The following is a 26,845-nucleotide window of genomic DNA, read 5'->3' as shown; positions in this document are numbered from 1 at the left end:
TAAGTGAAGTAACTCAGGAATGGAAAACCAAATACTGTATGTTCTCACTCAGAAGTGAGAGCTAAGCTATCAGTACACAAAGGCATGTGGAGTGGTATGATGGACACTAGAGACTCAGAAAGGGGAGGGTGGGAGTGGGTGAAGGATAAAAAACTGTAAAATGGATACAATGTATACTACTTGGGTGATGGGTGCACTAAAATCTCAGAATTCACCACTATATAATCCATCCATGTAACCAAAAACCACTTGTACGCCAAAAGCCATTGAAATAAAAAAAATTAAAACAATAAAAAAGGTGAAAAAAAAAGAAAATAAAAACACACCTGTCCAAGCTAGGTGTGGTGGTGCATGCCTATAGTCCTAGATACTCAGGAGGCTGAGGGCGGAGGATTATTTGAGCCCAGAAGTTCGAGGTCAACCTGGGTGACATAGTGAGATCCCATCTCTAAAAAATAAACCAATCAACAAACAACCCCTTCCCCACTTGCCACAAAACACACCTTTCCCAAAGAAAGTATATATACCAGAAGAAATAATGCCCTTCTTCTGGTATGTAAGAATTCCCGGCCGGGTGTGGTGGCTCACGCCTGTAAATCCCAACACTTTGGAAGGCTGAGGCAGGCGGATCACGTGAGCCCAGGAGTTGGAGACCAGCCTGGCCAACAAGGTGAAACTCCGTCTCTACTAAAAATACAAGAATTAGCCGGGCGTGATGGCACACGCCTGTAGTCGCAGCTACTCTGGAGGCTGAGGCATGAGAATCGCTTGAACCTGGGAGGTGGAGGTTGCAGTGAGCTGAGATTGTGCCACTGCACTCTGGCCTGGGGAACATAGTGAGACTCTGACTCAGAAAAAAAAAAAAAAAAAAAAAAAGGATTCCTTCCAGGAGTCTGTTAGCAGTTGCCCTCAAGACCAGCAAAACTGGAGGGTGAGGGAACTGAGATTTTCTGGAATAGCCTTTTTTATGTCTTTTTCTACGTAAGCAGATTGAGGATCAGAAAGTTAAAGCGACTTGTCCGAGGTCTACAGCTACTAAGTGGTTGATAGAACTGGAAAGCCTCCTAGGTTTCTAGTCAGGGAGACAGGTCTATGCTTTTTTTCCCAAAGCAAATGACTTCCCATTTTGGATTTATTTTTCTAGACTTCCCTCATTGCTTTAACTCTCCTTACATCCTCCCATGACCTCTTTTAATTCTGTCCACACAGCCACAGTTGGCAGCTAGACCAAAGTGGTTTGGTTTGTCAGATCCAGGAACAAGGGGCAGAGGCATCTAGCTAGCCTGGGCCACCTTCTGGGGAACCAGCTAGGTTTTAATTCAATGCCAGTGTTCAGGAAGTAAAGCAGTTGCTCTTCCTGGCAGGCATCAAGGAAGCATGCTGGAACTAGAGTCCTTGCCGAGCTGGACTGAGAGGGAAGCAAGGAACCCGTGGAGAGGGCCATTTCTAGACTGAGGAATGCAGGCCTGGCTCTCCACTCAAGGCCATCCCCGGGTGATGTTAGAAGTCAAACCAAAGTTAGCTGACATAGAAGAGCCATTCATTTTTTTCTAGAAAAACTGATTGAGGCCGAGTGCGGTGGCTCACGCCTGTAATCCCAGTACTTCAGGAGGCTGAGGTGGGTGGATCACTTGAGGTCAGGAGTTTGAGACTAGCCTGGCCAACATGGTGAAACCCCGTCTCTACCAAAAATACAAAAATTAGCCAGGTGTGGTGGTGAGCACCTGTAGTCCCAGCTACTCAGGAGGCTGAGGCGGGAGGATCGTTGGAGCCTGGGAGGCAGAGGTTGCAGTGAGCTGAGATCGCACCACTGCACTCCAGCCTGGGTGACAGAGTGGGAGTCTGTCTCAAAAACAAAAACAAAAACTGTCCCGGCATGGTGGCTCACGCCTGTAATCCCAGCACTTTGGGAGGCCGAGGTGGGTGGATCACGTGAGCCCAGGAGTTGGAGACCAGCCTGGCCAACATGGCGAAACCCCGTCTCTACCAAAAATACAAAAAAAAATTAGCTTGGCGTGGTGGTGCACGCCTGTAATCCCAGTTACTCAGGAGGCTGAGGCAGGAGAATGGATTGAACCTGGGAGGCGGAGGTTGCAGTGAGCCAGGATCGCGTCACTGCACTCCAGCCTGGGCAACAGAGTGAGACTCTGTTTCAAAAAAAAAAAAAAAAAAAAACAGTAATGGGCTTTTGGCTGGGTGTGGTGTCTCACGCCTGTAATCCCAGCACTTTGGGAGGCCAAGGCAGGTGGATCACGAGGTCAGGAGTTCGAGACCAGCCTGGCCAACATAGTGAAACCCGTCTCTACTAAAAAATACAAAAATTAGCTGGGCATGGTGGCGCATGCCTGTAACCCCAGCTACTCGGGAGGCTGAGGCAGGAGAATCGCTTCAACCCCGGGAGGCAGAGGTTGTGGTGAGCTGAGATGAGGCCACTGTACTCCAGCCTGGGCAACAGAGGGAGACTCCATCTCAAACAAAACAAAGCAAAACACACCAAAAAAAAAAAAAAATGATTGAGCTGACTAGGTGCCAAAGATACCACTATGAATGGCAGAGATGAAGTTCCTACCTTCATGGAGTTTATGGCCTAGTGAGAGCAAAAAAAAAGTTTTTGTTTGCTTTGCTTTTTTAACACATAGATGTTTTCTAGCCACGTTGTCTGTCCTCCATCATGTTCTGGTCAGGGTTGGAGTACCTCTGGGACCTTTGAACCTTGTGTTTCTGGTGCCAAAGTAGTTGTGAACCTTGGGCTTAACCAGTGGTGAGTTTGTAAATGTTTAACGACCAGCTCTCGGGGTGGGGTAAGGTATGTGTATGTTTTTGTGTGTTTATGTACATAAGCTAATTAATTATAAATTTTACTTATGTAAAGGATATATAGTACACGAATTAGCCATAACAATAAAATATACAATATTATTTATTGTAAATTCAATATAGCCAAGTGATTCTCACAGAATGCTTTCATCGATTGTTGCCCAACTCTTATATCTGTGGTTGCACTTGATGAACAAATGTAGTTCTTTTTTTTTTTTTTTTTTTTGAGACAGAGTTTTGCTCTTGTTGCCCAGGCTGGAGTGCAGTGGCACGATCTCGGCTCACTGCAACCTCCGCCTCCTGGGTTCAAGTAATTCTCCTGCCTCAGCCTCCCGAGTAGCTGATATTACAGGTCGGCACCTAATCAACACTCAGTAAACATAGTAGATGCTCAATAAATATTAGTTGGATGAATGGATTAAATAAACATTTAATCTACTGTTACCTAGAACTTTACTATTATTTTGAGACAGAGTCTCACTCTGTCGCCCAGGCTGGAGTGCAGTAGCATGATCTCAGCTCACTGCAACCTCTGCCTCCCAGGTTCAAGCAATTCTCGTGCCTCAGCCTCCCGAGTAGCTGGGATTACAGGGGTGCACCACCATGCCCAGCTAATTTTTTGTATGTTTAGTAGAGACAAAGTTTCACCATGTTGGCCAGCCCAGTCTCGAACTCCTGACCTCAAATAATCCACCCGCCTCGGCCTCCCAAAATGCTGGGATTACAAGCATGAGCCGCCACGCCCGGCCGAACAAATGTAGTTCTGACGTGCATGTTGGTTGATATTTTCATTTAAGTGAGAAACAATGATGTCAGAACTGCATTCATTTGTCCACAATGTGAGTGATTTCTTTTTTTTTTTTTTTTTTTAAATGGAGTCTCACTCTGTTTGCCCAGGCTGGAGTGCAGGAGTGTGATCTTGGCTCACTGCAACCTCTGCCTCCCGGGTTCAGGTGATTCTCGTGCCTCAGCGTCCTGAGTAGCTGGGATTACAGGCGCACAGCACCACGCCTGGCTAATTTTTGTATTTTTAGTAGAGACAGGGTTTGGCCATGTTGGCCAGACTGGTCTTGAACTCCTGGCCTCAAGTGATCTGCCAGCCTCAGCCTCCCAAAGTGCTGGGATTACAGGTGTGAGACACCGTGCCTGGCTGATTTCCTTGCTGAATAGGTTAGTGGTTTTCAAACTCTGGAAGACTATTTTCTCATTTTTTGGTATTATTCACAATCTAACAGCTATAGATATGGCACACCTTTGAGTTTTATCTGCATTATTAACATTGTTTCTATTGCTTTCTTTCCTCTAGATAGACAACAAAAGAATAGATCAAGCCTGATTTATAGCATTTGCTGATTTCTGAGTTGTAAGTGTTCCCACTGTGGCTGATTTCAAGCAGTTAACTTCAATGTGATGTTGGGAAGAGACACAATTGCACACTATTATACAGTATTTCAACTCTACAGATACTGTAGACATAAATCATCTGAAGAGCACAGGTAATAGTAAAATGAAGGCCGGGTGCGGTGGCTCACGCCTGTAATCTCAGCACTTTGGGAGGCCGAGGCGGGTGGATCACCTGAGGTTGGGAGTTCGAGATCAGCCAGACCAACATGGAGAAACCCCGTCTCTACTAAAACTACAAAAAATTAGCCGGGCGTGGTGGCACATGCCTGTAATCCCAGCTACTTGGAAAGCTAAGGCAGGAGAATCGCTTGAACCCGGGAGGCAGAGGTTGCGGTGAGCTGAGATCGTGCCATTGCACTTCAGCCTGGCAACAAGAGCGAAACTCCATCTCAAAAAAAAAAAAAAAAAGTAAAATGATTAGGAGATGATGAGTTTTGGGACATTGATTACCTTAGTTTTTAATATAATTTATTTAATTGTAATTTTATATATTTTAAAATAAGTGCTATGCTTAATGACTGACTCACAAAACTTCTGAAAATATAGCATCTGGCTCTCATGGGCCAGAGGGAGCCAGCTCCAGCACATACCCGGGGCCAACTATATTTCCAAGTCCTGAATGACCCTCATCCCTACTCCCATGCCCCTTTGCCATTCATTCAGGACCCCATAGCCCACCGCCTTTGATGGGAGCTCCTGGATTCCAAAGCAAACCCTAGCTGGCACCAAAGCCTCACTGCCACCTTGAGCGAGAGTTCTGGCGACAGATTGACAACAGTGGCTTTTCCATGGGTGGGTGGCCTCTTTTTGCCTGGGAAGGGGTGGAAGAGAGCCAGGGACACTTGCATTGACTCTGGAATGCACACCTGGCAAGCACTCAAGTCTAAGAGGAAGAGAAAGATCAAGGTGTGAGTGCAGGGGAGCTCTGGCTCAGCCCTCTGTCAACTTGGCCCTGCTCCTGGCTGGGCTGAAATTGACTTCGGAAGGCTTTCCAGAAAGGCTGGTGATGCTGGAGACTGTGGGCTGGGGGGCAGGGCAAACATTTCTCTTCTGCCTCCAGGATGTTACTCAGAGCTCTGGAAGCTACTCCCAAGGGTGATCCAGTGTTTGCCCTTGAAGTCTACATTTTCGGCCCTATTTCCTTTTCAGCAGTAGAAGTGGCTGGCAGTGGAATTTGGGTCTGGGCCTCGTGCTGAGTGGCTGTCGGCTTTGGAATCTGACCCTCCCTGGTGGAAAAAGCTGGGCCAGCATTTGGGGCAGTCCTCAGCGTGCAGGCCCTATATGCTGTCTACTTTGGGCCACACGCACTTGGCTTTGCTCCTCAGGTAACCCCTGGGAAACCTATCAGGTGCAACTGCTCTGATGCAGTTGGGGCAGTGTTGTGATGGGCTGCTGTGATGTCACTGCATGAATGAAGGTTCTGTGTTTGCACCTAGGCTGGCAGCTCTCCAGGGGCACAGTCCTCAGCCCCACCCTAGCCAGCACTCAGTAGAAGGACCAGCCCTCAGAGACTGGCTGAATGAATTGATGAGTACAAGCCTGGCTGACATTCAAGATTTCTTCCTGGTGAAACAGAAGCACAGTGTGGAGTCCTGTGTGGAAGCTCTCATCTTGACGTCTTGTACAAAGAGTGTCCTTCATTATTGCTAACACTAGAGGGGAGGGGAACCTCACTAATCCCCCCCTGCCCGACACGTACAAACACACAAAGGTTTCTACTAGCCGGATGTTCTGTAACCAGGAAGTTCAGATGCCTTTTTTTTTCTCCCAGTCTATGAGAAAAGTCACCTCTGTCCCCACCCACATGCGCACTGCTACACGCTGTGCCTACCAAGGCTGGCAGAAGTGTGCTGGCTGGGAGTGATTTGCTCTTGGCATCAGCCTGAGAATATCCTGTGCGGCTGAGAAGGTGGTGCTGCCCTCTCTGCAACACAGGGATTGGGAATTGATCGGGGCGAGGGGGCACACACTAAGGACTCAATGCACTCTGAAAGGGGAGGGCTCCAACATCAACAGAATTACAAGTGCTCCACTCCCTGCCATGCCCCCTGCATCCCAGCATTCACACACATCCTCCCGCAGATGCTGTCTGACACTATTCACAGGGGTTTGGAAAAAAGGGAAGGCCTGCCATAAAGTCTGCAAAGAGGTGTGACTATGGAGTTTCAGTAGGAAAAAAATCTCTGGGGGACCACAATTCCTATTGTCCTTATGGCTATGGATCATGGTTATGGTTATGGACAATTAAGGAGGCGATGTAAAAATCACTGTCCAGGAACCCTCCCTGCATGTCCCCGAGGATGACACCTCCACACCCTTGTCAACATGTCCTGGGCTTAATGACCCTGTGAGTGCACCTAGCTTTGAAAGTTCTGGTGTTTGCACGTGTGTGTGTGTGTGCGCGCGCACACGTGTGTGTGTGTGTGAAGGAGAGAGAAACAGTGAGAGAGAGAAAATTAATACTCTTGTTTCCAGACTAGACTTTGCTTCTGTGCTCGAAACACACACACTCCCATCCAAGTGCCTCCTGGACAGCCCCACTTACACATCCTATAGGCAACTCAAATTGAATCTACCCAACACAACTTGTCATCCTTTCCTTCCCCCTCAAACTCACAGTTTGTCCTGCCTGATGATCCCTTTCTCAATAAGTGGCACTGCCACTCACCTACCTGGCCAAGCAGGAAATCTGGGCACACCCTCGTCTCACACTCCCATAGGCCTAGTCATCAAGTCAGGCCTGTTCTAGCCTTCACGTTTTCACTTCAACAACCTCGCTCTCCATGCACGGTCACTACTTCAGGTCAGGCCCCCATCTATGTGGAAGTGCAGCAAGGCCTCCTGATGAGCTTTCCTGCCTCTAGTTCCCCCACTATCCCCACCCCCCCCTCCAATCCATTCTCAACCCTCTCAACAAACCAGTCCCGAAGGAAGTGCCCAAGGCAGCAGGAAGCAGACCTGCCTGACAAGTCTTTCTCTCCAGGTTGTAGGTGCCTGATGTTCCCCCTTATTCCAGTAGTTTCTGGGGACAGCACTGCCATATTAGCTAGCTCACCACTCTAGGTTATCTGATTCACCCTACTGGCATTGGCAGAAAGGAAGGAATGTGAACTGAGAAGAAAGTTTTGAGGCTGGGCGCGGTGGCTCATGCCTGTAATCCCAGCACTTTGGGAGGCCAAAGCGGGCGGAATACCTGAGGTCAGGAGTTTGAGACCAGTCTGACCAACATGGTGAAACCCCATCTCTACTAAAAATACAAAATTAGCTGGGCATTGTGGCACATGCCTGTAATCCCAGCTACTCAGGAGGCTGAGGCAGGAGAATTGCTTGAACCTGGGAAGTGGAGGTTGCAGTGAGCCGAGATCGCGCCACTGCACTCCAGGCTGGGCAACAAGAGCAACACTCCGTCTCAAAAAAAAAAAAAAAAATTGACACCAATGAGGAAGTCAGGGGAAGGCCCAGAGAAGGGTAATGCGCATGTCCATAGGACCAGAGGGGATTTGTGGGGAGTGGCTTCCTGAAAAGGTGTGGGCTGGGTTCTGAAGGGACAGCCCATGAGGAAGCCTGGCCCTGAAGAAGGCAGGGCCAGTGGAAGGGAGAGGTCTCAGCTTGCCAGCTCCTGCCATGACAGGTGACTGTGCTTCCCTCCCAAGGTCTTTCTGTGGGGAGAGCCAGCAAATAGCTCTCAGGGGGAGAGTTATGATCTCCCAGAATGTGGTGTCCAGGCTTCCTTCCAGGAGGGAGAAAGAAACTGGCAAGAGGAAATTTGGGGGTGGGGTTGAAAAAGGGCTCCCATTCTCCCACTCAAGACCTATGACCTGAAAAGTTGACAGAGCCACGCATTTCTTCCTCTGGGTGGGCGGATCCTGATCGTCTTCAGAGTCTGAGGGAGGCTTTTTCTCTTACAAAACTCAAGTCTCTTCTTAACCCCCATCCTCTAGGCCAGCTGGAGAGACAGCCCCCTATAAGATATAGCTTGCACCAACCCCTCTCCAGTCCTGCAAGGTGACATTGAAGCCCGTGCCCTTCTGTGGCCGCCTCTGACATCTCCAGGACACTGCCGCAACCAGTTCTCCAGGATGTGACACCACCAGACTTCTTGAGAAGAGCCCACCGTGCCTCATTCATCTTTGTATCTGTACTATGATGTGTCGCTCAAACATAACCAGAGCTAAGAAGATGACCACCATGCATCCTTCTACTCAGCCTGCAAAATGCCCATCTTTTCTCTATCCTGGTACTTCCTCCAAGGTCAACCCCTTCCCCTACACCCTTTTCGTTTTTTGTCCTGTGTTTGCTTTTTGGAGACAGGGTCTTGCTCTGTTGCCCAGGCTGGAGTGCAGTGGCGTGATCATGGCTCACTGAAACTTGACTTCCTGGGCTCAATCGATCCTCTCACCTCAGCTTCCAGAGTAGCTGGGACTACAGGTGCGTGCCACCACACCTGGCTAATTTTTGTATTTTTTTTGTAGAGACGGGGTCTCTCTATGTTGCCCAGGCTGGTCTTGAACTCCTGGCCTCAAGAGATCTTCCTACCTCGGCCTTCCAAAATGCTGGGATTACAGGCATGAGCTACCATGCCTGGCTCCTTTCACTCCTTTGGGAATATACCTTTTACTGCCCCGAAGTCCAGATTCTGACCATGGTGAGCAGGTCTCTTCAAGAACTAGCTGCTGCTTTCATTTCTCACCACTCCCTCCCCAATCCTTGGTACTCTGTCTTGCCATACTTTTTTATTTTATTTTTATTTATTTATTTTTATTTATTTTGGGACAGAGTCTCACCCTATCGCCAGGCTGGAGTGCAGTGGCACAATCTCAGTTCACTTCAACCTCTGCCTCCCAGGTTCATGCAATTCTCCTGCCTCAGCCTCCCGAGTAGCTGGGACTACAGGCGTGCGCCACCATGCCCAGCTAATTTTTGCATTTTTAGTAGAGACGGGGTTTCACCATGTTGGCCAGGATGGTCTCGATCTCTTGACCTTGTGATCCCCCTGCCCTGGCCTCCCAAAGTGCTGGGACTACAGGCGTGAGCCACCGCTCCTGTCCTATACTTAAAAAACTCTTTATTTGGAAGTAATTTCAGGCTGGGCGCGGTGGTTCACGTCTGTAATCCCAGCACTTTGGGAGGCCGAGGTGGGTGGATTGCCTGAGCTCAGTAGTTCAAGGCCAGCCTGGCTGACATGGCAAAACCCTGTCTCTACCAAAAATGCCAAAAAAAAAAAAAAAAAAAAGATGCCGGCAGGAGGATCACTTGAACCTGAGAGGCGGAGGTTGCAGTGAGCTAAGATTGTACCTCTGCACTCCAGCCTGGGCAACAGAGTGAAACTCCATCAAAAAAATAAAAATAAAAAAAAATTCAAATTTACAAAATGTGCAAAAATAAAAAGAGCACGAGGAACACTTGTATAATCTTTACCCAGATTCATCTGCTTTTAACATTTTATCTCATTTCCTTTATCATTTGGGTTCTCTCTCTCTTTCTCGCTCTTTCTCTCTCCATACAGATACACACACATATTATGTATATACATTTTATACATACACACTATATATACACATATACACATACACATAATATATACACATTATGTATATACATTTTATATGCATACTATAAACACACACACTTTTTCTGAACCATTTGAGAATAAGTTGTATATATCATGGTCCTTTACCTCTACACTTCAGTGTATATTTCCTAAGAATAGAGATATCCTGTTCCAGATTTTTAAAAAAGCTAAATGCAATACCTGACCCTAGAGTAGCTCCTGTACTTGAGAGGAAAAAAATGTTCTAAAGAACATTCCCGCAGCATTTTTTTTAGATGGCATGATCTTGGCTCACTGCAACCTCCACCTCCTGGGCTCAAGCGATTCTCCTGCCTCAGCCTCCCGAGTGGAGCTGGGATTACAGGCGCGCACCACTACTGCCCGGCTAATTTTTATTTTTATTTTATTTTTAGTAGAGATGGGGTTTCACCACGTGGGTCAGGCTGGTCTCGAGCTCCTGACCTCAGGTGATCCGCCCACCTCGGCCTCCCAAAGTGCTTGGATTACAAGCATGAGCCACCACGCCCCGGCCTGTTGTTTCTTTAAATCTTTTCAAAAACCAACTTAAAAAAAACTTCAGTAGTTTTCTGGGGTACAGGTTGTTTTTTGGTTACATGGATAAGTTCTTTAGTGGAAAACTGACTTTTCATTTCATTGATCTTGTATATTTTTTTAAGTCTCAATTGTATTTATTTCTGCTCTGGCCTTTATTACTTCTTTCCTTCTACTAATTTTGGGTTTGGTTTGTTCTTGCTTTTCTAGTTTTTGTTTTGTTTTGTTTTGTTTTGTTTTGAGACAGAGTCTCGCTCTGTCGCCGAGGCTGGAGTGCAGTGGCACGATCTCGGCTCACTGCAATCTCCACCTCCCGGGTTCACACCATTCTCCTGCCTCAGCCTCCCAAGTAGCTGGGACTACAGGCGCCCGCCACCACGTCCGGCTAATTTTTTGTATTTTTTTTAGTAGAGACGGGGTTTCACCGCGTTAGCCAGGATGGTCTTAATCTCCTGACCTGATCTGCCCGTCTCGGCCTCCCAAAGTACTGGGATTACAGGTGTGAGCCACTGCGCCCAGCCACTTTTCTAGTTTTTTGAGGTGCATTGTTGGGTTGTTTATTTGAAATCATTATATTTTCTTGATATAGTTGCTTATTGGTACAAACTTTCCTCTTAGTACTGCTCTTACTGTATCCCACAGATTTTGGCATGTTGTGTTTCATCCGATATTTTTTTCTTTTTGAGACAGGGTCTCATTCTGTACCCCAGGATGGAGTGCAGTGGCACGATCATAGCTCACTGGAGCCTCAAACTCCTGGTCTCAAGTGATCTTCCCACCTCAGCCTCCTGAGTAGCTAAGACTATAGGCTTGCACCACCGTGCCCAGCTTATCTTCTTAATTTTTTGTAGAGACAGGGTCTCGCTGTGTTGCCCAGGCTGGTCTTGAACCCCTGGCCTCAAGTGATCCTCCCACCTAAGCTTCCTAAAGGGTTGGGATTACAGGCGTGAGCCACCACATCTGGCCCATCCAATCTTTATAATGATATTTGCAAAATGATGTGTTTCCAACTCTCATGCTCCCTCCATCCACATTTGCCAGATGGCCCTTGCACTCTAGCCATTTTGAACCACTTTTGGTTCTCCACACCTGCTAAGTACTATTGGCTAACTCCTATTTATCCTTCAGCCTGGGCTGTTACAATTGGTAATGCACAACATTCACACTGTAGCCATGCCACATGGCAGCTGTGGTTGAGATGGCACTTCCTTTTTTTCTTGAGACACAATCTTGCTCTGTCAACCAGGCTGGAGTGCAGTAGTGAGATCTTGACTCACTGCCACCTCTGCTTCCTGGGTTCAAGGAATTCTCCTGCCTCAGCTCCCCGAGTAGCTGGGATTACAGGTGTGTGCCACCACACCCAGCTAATTTCTGTATTTTTAGTAGAGACAGGGTTTTGCCATGTTGCCCAGGCTGGTCTCGAACTCCTGGCCTCAAGTGATCTGCCCACTTCGGCTTCCCAAAGTGCTGGGATTACAGGTGTGAGCCACCGCGCCCGGCCGAGATGGAGCTTTCTCTCGGAAGTGTTTCCAGATTCCCCAAATGTCAGTTAGTTAAACATTCTTCCTTCTTTGCTCCCAAATCTCAGTCTGCTGACCCCTCTTAACACTCTTGTCACACTATATTGTAATTCTTACTTCTCTGCCTCCTTCACTGGGATATAAGCTCCATAAGGGTAGGATTTTTTCTCTCTTCTTCTCTGCTGTGTATCCCTTGCTCCTAGTACAGTGCCTGGCCCACAATATCTGTTCAGCAAATGTCAAGTCAATAAATAGTTTGGTCTTATGTTACAGCTTGTTTTAATTCCACTTTATTAAACTAATAAACTAATTCCATTTATATATGTGTGACTGGCTTCTCTGGCAGAGGACAAAGTCCTTAAGGGAAAGGACTATGCTTAAGTCAACTTTGCATCCTCTTCCCCTCCCCTTGGTACTTGGTACAGGACCTTGTTCATAACAGACACTCAACAAATGTTCACTGAATGAGTCTGTATGTGTATATTGGTTGTTAAGGGTACACTTTTTTTTTTTCCTTTCCATAGAACTGCACAAAACTGTTTGTGAGCAAGATCTGAGAAGCAAGCGATGTGCTTTTTGAACGCCTGCTGTTCTGGCACACCTGGGCCCAACCCTGACTGAGCCCGAGGCACAGGAAGGAAATGCAGTTGCAATGTGATTAGGGTCATGAGGGTTTCTGTAACCGAGGGACGCCAAAACCTGAGTGAGTCTCTGAGGGCGATCAAGGGTTGCCCAGGACCTATCCTGAAGCTCTGAAGCCTTCCTAGATGACAGTCTCTGACTCCTCCTATGGAATCCCTCATAGGAGCCCCTGGCCGGGCTAGATCCCTAGGATAGGTGAGCTGACTTTGGAAGTCTTTCTGGTGCAATGTCACTTGGAAGTCAAGCTGTTTGTGTTGGGATAATGTAGAAAGAAGAAGCCTGAAGAGAAGGCCTAGGAGGGGCTGGGCTGACAATCCAGCCCTTTGAAGAGCAGGGGCTACCTCTGTGGTCTAGGGCACAGCCTGCCAATCTGGCAGGATGACCTCAGATGATGGCCGAGACAACAGCTGGATTCCGGATTGTTGTCTTGCCCTGCAACCCTGGGGCCCCCGTACCCTCAGGCCCATTGCCACAGCAGCACATGCTTCTTTGTGGAGGCTGAGACCTTTGATCAGCTCAGTAGCCACAGCAACTCTTCCTAAAAGGCACTGGCTTGGGAAGCTCTCCTGTGGACTCTTACCAGCCCTCTAGAGGCAGAGTGGGGGCCCCAAGAACAGCATCAGGAAAAAGTCAATGTAGTAAGAACTTTAGATGACACAATCTTGCCTCTATACAGGAATTTTAGCCTAGATACAGGCTATTTTTTAGTTTTTCCTTTCTGTGTAAGAAATGCACCATACAACACAACATTTAGCTTTTTCCCAATAGGAAAAAAAATGCACCAAAGGGCCCAAGATCGGTAAGTGAAAACCTTGAAACTTACAGCCAGGGAATAGAGGGACATGCATCGAACACGGGAACCACTGACATGGACGTTTTTCTTTTTGTTTAAAAAGCATGTATAGGCGGGGTGCAGTGGCTCACGCCTGTAATCCCAGCAATTTAGGGGGCCAAGACAGGTAGATCACCTGAGGTCAGGAGTTTGAGGTCAGCTTGGCCAACATGGTGAAACCCTGTGCCTACTAAAAATGCAAAAATTAGCTGGGCATGGTGGTGGGCACCTGTAGTCCCAGCTACTTGGGGGGTGAGGCAGGAGAATTGCTTGAACCCAGGAGGTAGAGGTTGCAGTGAGCCGAGATCGCGCCATTGCACTCCACCCTGGGCCACAGAGTGAGACTCCGTCTCAAAAATAAAATAAAATAAAAACAATAAATAAATAAATAGCATGTATATTGCACTTACCACATGCCCAGGCACCGTTCTAAATGCATTGCAATCTGTTAACTCACTGAATCCTCATAACAAGTCTTTTAAAGTAGGTACAGTTATCCCCATTTTACGGTGGAAGAAATGGAAGCAGACAGAGGTTAAATAACTTGTCCAAAGTTGTAACCACCCAGTGGGTTCACCTTGCTCACTGCCTAGATAGAGACGATTTATCAAGACAGGGGAATTGCAATGGAGAGTTCGGCCTATGCCCAGGAATGAACAAGGACAGCTTAAAGGTTAGAAGCAAGATGGAATCGGTTAGGTCTGTTTTCTTTCACTATCATAACTTCCTCAGTTATAATTTTGCAAAGGTGGTTTCAAAGTCACACAGGCGATAAATGGCAGAGTCAGGATTCCAGCCCAGGCAGCCTCTGTTTGCTTCGGCACTCTGCCCTGCTGCCTCCTTGAGTTTACAAGCCTCGTGATCATAGAACAGGACAGGGAGTGGCCCTCTTACTCCTCCCTTTTTCTTTCTTCCTTAGGTTCTTTTATATGGATCAAGTGCAGGAGTCCAGCCTGTCCCCTAGCCACATCAGGGAGAAAAAAAATGTGTGTGTGTGTGTGTGTGTGAGAGAGAGAGAGAGAGAGAGAATATGAGAGAATATGAAGGTGGCACTGCTGTCTGGATGCTTCTGGAAAACCCAGCTCTGTCAAGGACTGAGGAATACTGCAGTGGAAACTCCTGCATTTTATTTCCTGAGCCAGAATTCTGAGATGAGTATGCTTAGAGACTCCCCTAAGATGAGCAGCATCAAAGTCTCTTTAACCCTTGCCTCAGGGAACAGTCACCTAACAAAGAGGAGCTGGGGCTAAGCTTCTGTTTTACACTGAACAGAGCAGGGAAGAAAATTCATGCATCAGGGTGCTCTTTAGAGTTCTATTGTGAAGGAGAATAACTTGTTTATATTAGGCAAGGCCCCAGTAGCTTCTTTGTAAATTTCAGTCTGGAGAAAATAAAGCCAGAGCTGCAAGTCCAAACAGGTAAAAAAAAAAAAAAAAAAATTTTTTTTTTTTTTTTGAGACGGAGTCTCACACTCTTGCCTGGGCTGGAGTGCAATGGCGCAATCTCAGCTCACTGTAACCTCTGCCTCCCAGCTTCAAGCGATTCTCCTTGCCTCAGCCTCTCAAGTAGCTGGGATTACAGGCACCCGCCACAACGCCCAGCTAATTTTTTTTGTAATTTTAGTAGAGACGAGGTTTCACCATGTTGGCCAGGCTAGTCTCGAACTCCTGACCTCGTGATCCGCCTGCCTCGGCCTCCCAAAGTGCTGGGATTAGAGGCATGAGCCACCGCGCTTGGCCCCAGGTAAAATTTTGATAAGCTCATGAAAATTTCAACTAGAGAGTTCAGGCACCCATGGCTGGGATGAGGGCAACAAATCTGGAGCAACAAACATGCAACCAACAAGCTTTTTTTGACAGCATACTTTTGTTTGGCACTCCTCTACGCACTGGGATACAAATATGAGTAAGAATGCTACCACCTAAAATAATAGATGCCTGGATAGGCATAGCTTATCTCTGGAAGGTAACACCAGAATGTGGTCATGGAGATTACCTGTGGGTGGCGAGGGAACAGGGGTGGGAGGGAAACTAACTTGTTACTGTAAACCCTTTATACCTTGTCAATTTGGTATCCGAGGATATATTACCAATATATTACCCATTCAAAAGATAAATGTGGTATCAGGGAGACACAAATACGTAAATGTGTAAATAGAGAAGTAAATAGCAGCATCAGCTCACAAAAGCATGTTCACAGTGCTAGAGTTATTGACAACAATGGAGGAACCATGATATAAAGACTGAATTTACTAGCCCAGGCATGATGGCTCACGCCTGTAATCCCAGCACTTTGGAGGCCCAGGCCGGCAGATCGCCTGAGGTCAGGAGTTCGAGACCAGCCTGGCCAACATGGAGAAACCCTGTCTCTACTAAAAATACAAAAATTAGCCGGCCGTGGTAGCTCATGCCTGTAATTCCAGCTACTTGAGGGGCTGAGGTGGGAGGATCACTTGAGCCTGGGCTATCGAGGCTGCAGTGAGTTGAGATTGTGCCACTGCACTCCAGCCTGGGAGACAGGAGTGAGACCCTGTCAAAAAAAAAAAAAGACCAAATTTACCAATTTGGTTTCCTGGCTTAGGACAGAATTGAGGCTTCAGCCATGATAGTGACGTCTAAGAAGTCCCTCTACCTCTAGCCAGAGGTCCTGGCTAGAAGAAAAAAAAAAAAGTATGTTTTCTTGTCTTTTTCCAAACACATCACAAGAGCAATATATAACCTGACAAGAATGCAGGGGCAGGTAAGACCTGCCTAAGGCTGAAGGAGTTTTGTCCTTCCATAGGCATTGGCCTCCTCCTCCCCTCACAGACAAAGGTGACTGTGTCAGTAACAACTATTTACCTTGCAAGCACATACCTGTGCCTAGCCAGACCTACTCCCTTGCATAGAGAAGTGATTCCTGACAGACTCTGCATCCAACTGGTCTTGGGGCAATGCCACCTGCTCACTCTAGCCTAAACCTGCTGAGGAGCTAGCACAATCCTGAGAAAAAGGGTCAAGAAATCACGTTCTGGCCGTTGAGTGGTGGCTCACTCCTGTAATCCCAACACTTTGGGAAACTGAGGCAGGAGGATCACTTGAGGCCAGGAGTTCAACACCGCAGTGAGCTCTGATCACACCACTGCACTCTAGCCTGGGCAACAGTGAGACCCTGTTTCAAAAAAAAAAAAAAAAAGAATAAGAAGTGGATAACTCGATTATCCACAGGTGGATTGTTTTTTTCTGGATTATAGGCTGACAATTTATTATTATTATGTATGTATTTATTTATTTATTGCGAGACAGAGTCTCACTCTGTCACCCAGGCACGATCTTGGCTCACGGCAACCTTTGCCTCCCGGGTTCAAACAATTCTTCTGCCTCAGCCTCCCAAGTAGCTGGGACTACAGGCACCTGCCACAACATTTGGCTAATTTGTGTATTTTTTAGTAGAGACAGGGTTTTGCCATGTTGGCCAGGCTAGTCTCAAACTGCTGACCTCAACTGATCCACCTGCCTCTGCCTCCCAAAGTGGTACGATTACAGATGAGAGCTACCGTGCCGGGCCTATGCTGACAGTTTTTAATCCTGGCCTGATTTTCCCTCATATACCCCTCCCCCAGGCTACCTTTAGACTTCCTTTATCCAAAGCCCAGTGGGTCTACTAGGGAAATAATGTCATGATAACTATGACTGCCACCCTTTATTGAATGCTTCCAGGGGCCAGACATCAGGCTGTGTTATATGTATTAGTCTTCATGCAATCCTCACAGATACCCAATGAGAAAGGTATTCTGGCTATATCTGTGTTTTGCAGATGAAGAAACTCAGGGAGATAAACAGCTAGCAAATGGTGGTGATTGGACTGAAAACCAGACTGTGTGGCTGAGCGCCCATACCACTGGTCTATAAAGGCTCTTAACCACTCTCCTATTCTGCATCCCATAAAGTTAATTTTAATTAGCCCAATCCAGCTCTATTTAGGAAGAGAAATATGCTGCCAAAAATCACTTACAATATCCAAAAGCTAAATATAAAAGGCTTTTCTATTATCACTTGTTTGGGGCTATTTAGGCCAAGGCTTCCTTCCAAGGGCCTGTGTAACCAAGGGTTATATGGAAGCTTAGCATCTGGGCAAACAGGAAATGAGCCCAGCTCTGCTGGCTCTGTCAGCGCCCTAAAAAGATCTACTCACGGGGGAAGTTAAACTTATAGAACCAGGATGGGCCAGGTGCGGTGGCACACACCTGTAATCCCAACACTTTGGGAAGCTGAGGTGGGCAGATCACTTGAGGTCAGGAGTTCGAGACCAGCCTGGCCAACATGGCAAAACCCTGTCTCTACTAAAAATACAAAAATGTAGCTGGGTATGGTTGTGTGTGCCTGTAGTCCCAGCTACTTGGGAGCAGGAGAATCGCTTGAACCCGGGAGGTTGAGGTTGTAGTGAGCTGAGATAGCGCCACTGCACTCTGGCCTGGGTGACAGAGCAAGACTCTGTCTAAACAAACAAACAAACAAAAAAACAAAACCCAGCATGGAAATGAAAACCTTAGACCGGGCTCTGAGATCAGAAATGTCAAGAATAGCCTTCCAGTTTACTGTCCCTGGGGTGGGGAGTTTGGGGGTGGTGGGGGGACAAATGCCCGGGATGAGCATTTTGTAGTTGATAGCTGAGGGTTTTGTGGGCTGGCTTCTGGGTCCCATCGGGTCATGTTCTTGGAATTCTAGACATATGTTCAGGCCCAGAAGAAAGAAACTTCCAGAGTCGCTTATCCCATATTATTGGCTTCTCTGCACCTGCAGAGGGAGATTGGGCCTCATCTTCCTTAGCTTGCTGTCATAGATTTGCCTTCCTCTTCTAAAATGCTGTGGCTGGAGACCAAGAGACTTCTCTAACAATCATCCGAGACACTCTTTCCCTCATATTACTTCTTTGTTTTTACTTTTGTTTTTGAGACCGAGTCTCGCTCTGTCACCCAAGCTGAAGTGCAGTGTCATGATCTCGGCTCACTGCAACCTACACCTCCCGGGTTCAAGCAATTCTCCTGCCTCTGCCTCCCAAGTAGCTGGGATTACAGGCACCTGCCACCATGCCCAGCTAATTTTTGTATTTTTTGTAGAGATGGAGTTTCACCATGTTGGCCAGGCTTGTCTTGAACTCCTGACTTCAGGCGATACGCCAGCCTTGGCCTCCGAAGTGCTGGGATTACAGGCGTGAGCCACCGCACCCAGCCCCTCATATGACTTTTTCACTGACTTCTTAATGCACAGTCGGGGAGCTGAGCAGCTGCCTGTACCTGGCTGGGCTGGGCCTGAAACCACTCAGCCCCATCACAGCAGCCTCCATCCTTGCCGATGCAGACCCATGGGACCAGCCCTGAAGACATCCTGTCTTTCCCTCTTTCTGGAATGCCCTCCCTGCTCCGTTCTCACACCTCCTGCCCCTTCACCTTCAATCAGTCAGGGAAAAACCCACTTTCTACTCACCTGCCACTTGTGTCTTCCAAGGTTTTTCTGTACTCAGTATAGTCAATGGTACCACATTGCTTTATTGTTACTGGAACAATAACATGGATTCCAGCTACCATTTACTGAGCACTACCTGTGAGCCAGGCTCTATCTCATTTATGCAATATCTCACTGAAACCCCACAACCACCCTGTGAGGTGGATACTGTTTTTGCCCTCCCCATTTTACAGATGAGGTAACTGAGGTTCAGGAAGTTCAGCAGCCTGACTTATGACATAGTGCTAAGAAGTGATGGGATCGAGATCTGAACCCAGGTCTCTGTGATCTCTGAACCAATGTGGGCTTGCCTTTTCTCTTCCATCAGATTGGGTTTGGTGAAGGAGTCTTTGATTTCTCCTGGATTTCCACCTCCCCACACCCAATCCTGGGCTCAGCTTGCAGTGGGCACTTGCCCAACTGATCTCAGTTTGCAGGGGTCTTCCTAGCACCATCAGGCCCACTGGGCCTCACACTCTGCTGTTTCCTGGCCCTGTTAGGGAGATGAAAATGGTGAGGTGTCCAGGAGCTAGAAGCAGGAGGAAGTGTCAAGTTTGGCCAATAACCAATGTCCCCTGTAGTCGGGTAAGGGCTCTTTGGCTTCCCAGAGCTCGCCTCATTGCCATATGGCAACACGCACACCTCTGACGTTGCAGCTCCTGCTAATAGGGCAGGGGAAATGGATGGCATTGATATCCTCTTTGTGCTTGTTCAGATAGCTGAAGCACCTATGAGGGGAGATTGCCTTTATTTTTTATTTTTCTGAGATGGAGTCTCGCTGCGACGCCCAGGCTAGAGTGCAATGGAACGATCTCGGCTCACTGCAACCTCCGCCTCCCGGGTTCAAGCCATTCTCTCGGGTTCAAGCCATTCTTCTGCCTCAGCCTCCCGAGTAGCTGGGATTACAGGCGCCTGCCACCACACCCGGCTAATTTTTCTATTTTTAGTAGAGATGGGGTTTCACCATATTGGCCAGGCCGGTCTTGAACTCCTGATCTCAAGTGATCTGCCCACTTTGGACTCCCAAAGTGCTGGGATAACAGGCATGAGCCACAGCGCCCGGCCAGGAGATTGCCTTTTAATATCACTAGTATTGCCATCGTAATTGGACTTTGCCAGATATAATCTGCCCCCTTGTGGACGGTGCTGTCCTGACAATTTGAAGGAAGAGAAGGAAAAAAAAAAAAAATCCGGCAGTCTCTAAAATTCCTGGGAAAATGTTATTGCCCAAAAAATTTGCAGCGTCTGGGAACTGGCCATTCCAACTTTCACTGACCAGGGCCAGCAGAACCCCCTGTGAGTCTTCCGGGTTATTTTACACTTTGACAGGAGGTGGTAGACAGGCTCAGCTCTGTGCTTTTTGGCAGTAAAACACACGTAGCAGGTCTCTGCATCTTTCTGAGTTAATACCTATTTCTCTTTTCTAATTTGCAGTCATCTCTCCAGTTTCCTTTCAAAAATAAGTTCTGGCCGGGTACGGTGGCTCACGCCTGTAATCCCAGCACTTTGGGAGGCCGAGGCGGGTGGGTCACGAGGTCAGCAGTACCAGACCTGCCTGACCAACATGGTGAAACCCCATCTGTACTAAAAATACAAAAATTAGCCGGGTGTGGTGGCACGCACCTGTAATCGAATCCCAGCTACTCAGTGAGAGGTGACAGCGTGCTGGCAGTCCTCACAGCCCTCGCTCGCTCTCGGCGCCTCCTCTGCCTGGGCTCCCACTTTGGCGGCACTTGAGGAGCCCTTCAGCCCACCACTGCATTGTGGGAGCCCCTTTCTGGGCTGGCCAAGGGCAGAGCCGGCTCCCTCAGCTTGCAGGGAGGTGTGGAGGGAGAGGCGCGAGCAGGAACCGGGGATGCATGAGGCGCTTGCGGGCCAGCTGGAGTTCCGGGTGGGCGTGGGCTTGGCGGGCCCCGCACTCGGAGCAGCCGGCCAGCCCTGCCGGCCCTGGGGAATGAGGGACTTAGCACCCGGGCCAGTGGCTGCGGAGAGTGTACTGGGTCCCCCAGCAGTGCCGGCCCACCGGCACTGCGCTCGATTTCTCACCGAGCCTTAGCTGTCTTCCCGTAGGGCAGGGCTCGGGACCTGCAGCTCTCCATGCCTGAGCCTCCCACCCACTCCATGGGCTCCTGTGCGGCCCAAGCCTCCCCAACGAGCACCACACCCTGCTCCACGGCGCCCAGTCCCATCGACCACCCAAGGGCTGAGGACTGCGGGCGCACGGCGCGGGACTGGCAGGCAGCTCCACCTGCAGCCCCAGTGTGGGATCCACTAGGTGAAACCAGTTGGGCTCCTGAGTCTGGTGGGGACGTCTTTATGTCTCGCTCAGGGATTGTAAATACACCAATCAGCACCCTGTGTTTAGCTCAAGGTTTGTGAGTGCACCAATCCACACTCTGTATCTAGCTGCTCTGGTGGGGCCTTGAAGAACCTTTATGTCTAGCTCAGGGATTGCAAATACACCAATCAGCACCCTGTGTTTAGCTCAAGGTTTGTGAGTGCACCAATCAACACTCTGTATCTAGCTGCTCTGGTGGGGACAGTGGAGAATCTTTATGTCTAGCTCAGGGATTGTAAATACACCAATCAGCACTCTGTGTTTAGTTCAAGGTTTGTGAGTGCACCAATCGACACTCTGTAGCTAGCTGCTCTGGTGGGGCCTTGGAGAACCTTTATGTCTAGCTCAGGGATTGTAAATACACCAATCGGCACTCTGTATCTAGCTCAAGGTTTGTAAACACACCAATCAGCACCCTGTGTTTAGCTCAAGGTTTGTGAATGCACCAATTGACACTCTGTATCTAGCTGCTCTGGTGGGGCCTTGGAGAACCTGTGTGTCCAAACTCTGTATCTAACTAATCTGATGGGGACCTGGAGAACCTTTGTATCTAGCTCAGGGATTGTAAACGCACCAATCAGTGCCCTGACAAAACAGGCCACTGGGCTCTACCAATCAGCAGGATGTGGGTGGGGGCCAGATAAGAGAATAAAAGCAGGCTGCCCAGCCAGCATTGGCAACCCGCTCCGGTCTCCTTCCATGGTGTGGAAGGTTTGTTTTTTCGCTCTTTGCAATAAATCCTGTTATTGCTTACTCTGGGTGCACACTGTTTTTATGAGCTGTAACACTCACTGTAAAGATCTGCAGCTTCACTCCTGAGCCCAGTGAGACCACGAGGCTACCAGGAGGAGCAAACAACTCCAGACGCGCTGCCTTAAGAGCTGTAACAGTCACCGCGAGAGTCTGCAGCTTCACTCCTGAGCCAGCGAGACCACGAACCCACCAGAAGGATAAAACTTCGAACACATCTGAGCATCAGAAGGGACAGACTCCAGACGCGCCACCTTAAGAGCTGTAACACTCACCGCGAGGGTCTGCGGCTTCATTCTTGAAGTCAGTGAGACCAAGAACCCACCAATTCCGGACACATCAAGAGGCTGAGGCAGGAGAATCGCTTGAACCCAGGAGGCAGAGGTTGCAGTGAGCCAAGACTGCGCCATTGCACTCCAGCCTGGGCAACAGAACGAGACTCTGTCTCAAAAACAACAACAAAAAACAAGTTCTGTTATTTGCTTTCTCTGCCCTACCTGTCCTTTCATCCCCATTGCCATCACCCTAGCCTGTCACTAATCCCTTTGCTGTTGCAACAACTGCGATACCTGTGTCTCCTCCTCCTCCACTTCAACCCACACCTCACACCACATCTGTGTTGATTGTCTAACCCATTGTCCACATCTGTGTTCATCGTCCAACACCCACCCTACTTTGTGTGCGAAGCTCCCCATTGCCTACACGGATAAAAGGTTCAAGGCCCCAAACTTCCTCTCAGTCAACCCGTATTAGCTGATGACCTACTGTATGCAAAGCACTCCTCCGAAATCTGCTTCAGCCTAAGGGGTGTGATCACAATGGCCACCAATTGTCCTTGAGGGTTGCAGCAGGCTCTTTACTCACATTGTATCATGTAATCTGTTTTTTTGGAGAGGGAGTCTTGCTCTGTCGCCCAGGCTGGTGTGCAGTGGTGCGATCTCGGCTCACTGCAACTTCCACCTCCTGGGTTCAAGCGATTCTCCTGTCTCAGCCTCTTGAGTAGCTGGGACTACAGGCATGCACCACCACGCCCAGCTAATTTTTGTTGTTGCTGCTGCTGTTGTTTGTTTTTTTGAGATGGAGTTTCCCTCTGTCGCCCAGGCTGGGGTGCAGTGGTGTGATCTCAGCTCACTGCATCCTCCACCTCCTGGGTTCAAGCGACTCTCCTGCCTCAGCCTCCCGAGTAGCTGAGATTACAGGCACCCACCACCATACCCAGCTAATTTTTGCATTTTTAGTAGAGACAGGGTTTCACCGTGTCGGCCAGGCTGGTCTCAAATTCCTATGCTCAAGTGATCCTCGCATCTTGGCCTCCCAAAATGCTGGGATTATAGTGGTAAGCCACCACACCTGGCCCACCCTTCCGCCCTTCCTTTCCTTTCCTTCCTTCCTTCCTTCCTTCCTCTCTTCCTTCCTTCTTTCCTCCCTCCCTCCCTTCCTTCCACAAACATGTATTGAGAGCCTACTATGTGTCAGGGACTGTGCTAGGCACTGAGGCTAGAGCAGAGGCAGAGGGCCCTGCCCTCCTGCACTTGGCATTCTCGATCATTCATACCTTCCTGCTTTTGTGCCCTTAGTGCATGCCCTTCCCTCTGTCTGGATTGTCTTCCTCATGCCTCTTCACCAAAGATCAACGCCATCATCAGGGCCCAACTGAAATCTCACCTCCACCATGCAGCCCTGACCACCCCGCCCAGTGATTGCTCTCTAAGAGAATCCATTAAATACTTATCATCTGGACAGCGCATTTGGCACATGTCAGATGTTCTGGCACTCTTAACTCTCATGTTTATATATGGATCCTATCACTCAGGAAACATTTCCATTCTCCTCAAGAAACATTAACTGGGTGCCTCCTATATATTTTAGCAGTGGTAAACATAATGAAACTTTGTGGTGCCTCTTTCAGTTACAACAGCTTTCATAACTATTTTATCATTTGGTTTTCACAAAACACCATCACTTCCATTTTATGCTTCAATTTAAAAAAATATAATGTATACCCCAGCTAGAATAGCTATTGTCAAAAAGACAAAAAAAAAAAAATGCTAGGGAGGATGCAGAGAAAAGGGGACTTGTACATTGTTGATGAGAATGTAAATCAGTACAGCCATTATGGAAAATGGTATGAAGGTTTCTTAAAAAAAAAAAAACAAACTACAAATAGGACTACCATATGATCCAGCAATTCCACTCACTACTGGATATATACCCCCAAAAAGGAAATCAGTGTATTGAGATACCTGCCTCCCCATGTTTATTGCAGCACTATTTACAATAGCTAAGATATGGAATCTATCTTAGTGTCCATCAATGGATGAATGGATAGAGAAAATGTCACACAGACACAGCAGAATATTATTCAGCCATAAAAAAGAATGAGATCTTGTCATTCATGACAAGATGGATGAGCCTGGAGGACATTATGTTAAGTGAAATAAGTCAGGCATGTTCTGCATGTTCTCACTTATATGTGGGAGCTAAAAAAAACTCCTGAGCTCATAGAAGTAGAGAGTAGAATTATGATTATTAGAGGCTGGGAAAGGTAGAGGGGAGGGGAGGATAGGGAGAGGTTGGTTACAAAGTTACAGCTAAATCGAAGGAATAAAGCTGGGTGCAGTGGCTCATGCCTGTAATCCCAGCACTTTGGGAGGCTGAGGTAGGTGGATCACTTGAGGTCAGGAGTTCGAGGCCATCCTGGCCAACCTGGTGAAACCCCATCTCTACTAAAAATACAAAATTAGCTGGGTGTGGTGGTGAGCGCCTGTAATCCCAGCTACTCATGAGGCTGAGGCTGGAGAATCGCTTGAACCCAGAAGGTGGAGGTTGCAGTGAGCCGAGATGGCACCACTGCACTCCAGCCTGGGCAACAGAGCGAGATTCTATCTAAAAAAAAAAAAAAAAAATGTGTACTGTTAAAAATGTAATTTAAATTACTTACTTCATGGATAAGTATGTTCTCATGAACATTAAAACATTATAAATCTGGCTATCATTGTAGATCTGACCACCGCTACCCTACTCCAGACTCCCTCAGAGATACAGAAGAGGAAACTGAGACTCAAAGAAGTGACATGGTGTGCCCAAGGCCACACAGCTAGTGCCTGTGGGGGATTTTCTGATTCTAAATCTCTCTCTGTTTTTTTTCTTTTTTGAGACGGAGTCTCACTCAGTCGCCCAGGCTGGAGTGCAGTGGTGCAATCTTGGCTTACTGCAACCTCCACTTCCCGGGGTTCAAGCAATTCTCCTGCCTCAGCCTCCCAAGTAGCTGAGACTACAGGCATGCGCCACCACGCCCTGCTAATTTTTTTTTTTTTTTTTTTTTTTTTAGTAGAGACAGGATTTTACCTTGTTGGTCAAGCTGGTCTCGAACTCCAGACCTCAAATAATCCACCCACCTTGGCCTCCCAAAGTGTTGGGATTACCGGCGTGAGCCACCGCGCCCAGCCTGACTTTAAATCTCTTGCTATTCTAATTTTTCTACACTGCCTCCCATCACCACAAGAATCCTTTCTATTCCTCACTGTGTCCCTGGTGCCCAGCACAGGGCTCTGCACCAAAGCTGGGGCTCAGCAAATATTTCCATATCAATGGATTCCCTGGCAGAGGGTTTCCTTTGCACGAAGGCATTGCCTTCTGAGGTGGGCTACACCGACCTCATTTGGTCAGTGAAGGCTCGAAGTGGCAACTGAGGCCATGCAGGCATCCTCCCAGGTGTCCCTTCTGCCACCCCAGGGCTTGGCGACATCAGGGATCCTGAGAGTCTCCTTTGGGAGCCAATACAGTGAGACCCAGTAGAGGTACACCAGGTGTTTGCTGGGCACACGCTATGTGGCTGCCGGTATGCCAATGGCCGTGTGTGACTCGGGGGAGAAATGCAAAGTATGATATTGTTGAGCCAAGATTTGTCCCATACGTAGGACACAGTGACCAGCCAGCACATATCCAAGTTCTAAATTATGCAGTGCTGATGATGCTTTGGGGGTTCAGGGGAGGAAGAGCTTGGCTGGAGCGGCCAGGGTAGACTTCTTGGGGGCGGTGGGTTTAGCTGAGCTTGGTGGAAAGCGGTCTGCGTGGAGGACACAGCTCTTCCAGCGGAGTCGGCCGCGGTGCCCAGGCCGAGGCGAGAAGCAGCGCGCCCTCTGCAGGCAGGTGCGAGAGGCGGCCGGAGACCCGCCTGGGCACGTGGACTGGAAAAGGAAGGAGTCGGCCATCGGCTGCTGCCGCTGCGGCTGCGCTGCGACTTTTTCAGCCTGTCTGTCTCAATCCAGCCTTGCACTTCGGCGACTTTCAACCGCCATTAGGCCTGCAAAAGCCGCGTTTTTTCCCTCAGGGCGTGCCCTGCCCTCCTCTCTCCTAGTTGTCTGCAGCTCCCCGCCTGGCGGGCCGGGCCATTTCCTTCTGCTGCTACTCGGCATAGTCCTAGCGGACTGTTTTAGCCACCGCGCTGAGAGCGCTCTTTACAAAGTTTCCCAGATTACAAAACCGGCGCCTAAAGGGAAGGGGCCGACTCTGAGAGAGCCCGTAGTTATTTAACAAACACTTAAGCGCATATTATATGCTAGGCTTTGTGCCAAGCGCCTCGCAAATATTAATTTATTTCATCCTCACTACAGTGCCAGGCAAGTAGTGTTCTTGACCCCATTTTCCGGCTGAGCAAGGTGAGGCAGTGAGACTTAGAATCTTGCTCACCATTTCACAGCTGGAAAGGGGCGGAACCATGCTCTTAACCACTGCACCAAGCGCCTCTCCAGGGGCTCCTCACATGGGTAGGTCCCCAAGCAGGCCGATGGTCCCTAAAGAGCTTGAACCCCTCCCTTCCTCTGGGCCTCCGTGGTTATTTTCCAGGCACCGCAGCATTAAGTGCTACTTTCTGACTCTCTCTAAGTTGGGGGGGGGTTCCCTTTGTTTTCAGGGTTTTCATCTGCAGGTGTTACACGTGGTTTGCCAGGTGCC

At 48.4% G+C, this 26,845-nt stretch overlaps 4 annotated features.

Moving 5' to 3' along the window:
• Positions 5,118-5,412: a silencer, noted in NCBI's record as "tiled region #9216; K562 Repressive non-DNase unmatched - State 24:Quies". NCBI's record gives its function as "represses a minimal TATA promoter and a strong SV40 promoter by Sharpr-MPRA in K562 cells {active_cell/tissue: K562}" and the evidence as "EXISTENCE:reporter gene assay evidence [ECO:0000049][PMID:27701403]".
• Positions 7,868-7,947: an enhancer, noted in NCBI's record as "active region_29881". NCBI's record gives its function as "activates an Ori minimal core promoter by ATAC-STARR-seq in GM12878 lymphoblastoid cells {active_cell/tissue: GM12878}" and the evidence as "EXISTENCE:reporter gene assay evidence [ECO:0000049][PMID:35858748]".
• Positions 26,151-26,200: an enhancer, noted in NCBI's record as "active region_29880". NCBI's record gives its function as "activates an Ori minimal core promoter by ATAC-STARR-seq in GM12878 lymphoblastoid cells {active_cell/tissue: GM12878}" and the evidence as "EXISTENCE:reporter gene assay evidence [ECO:0000049][PMID:35858748]".
• Positions 26,251-26,350: an enhancer, noted in NCBI's record as "active region_29879". NCBI's record gives its function as "activates an Ori minimal core promoter by ATAC-STARR-seq in GM12878 lymphoblastoid cells {active_cell/tissue: GM12878}" and the evidence as "EXISTENCE:reporter gene assay evidence [ECO:0000049][PMID:35858748]".

Source organism: Homo sapiens, chromosome X, assembly GCF_000001405.40.
Source record: "Homo sapiens chromosome X, GRCh38.p14 Primary Assembly".
Taxonomy (NCBI): Eukaryota; Metazoa; Chordata; class Mammalia; order Primates; family Hominidae; genus Homo; species Homo sapiens.
Note: the sequence above shows the minus strand (reverse complement) of the source record. Positions and strands in the feature narration are given on the sequence as shown.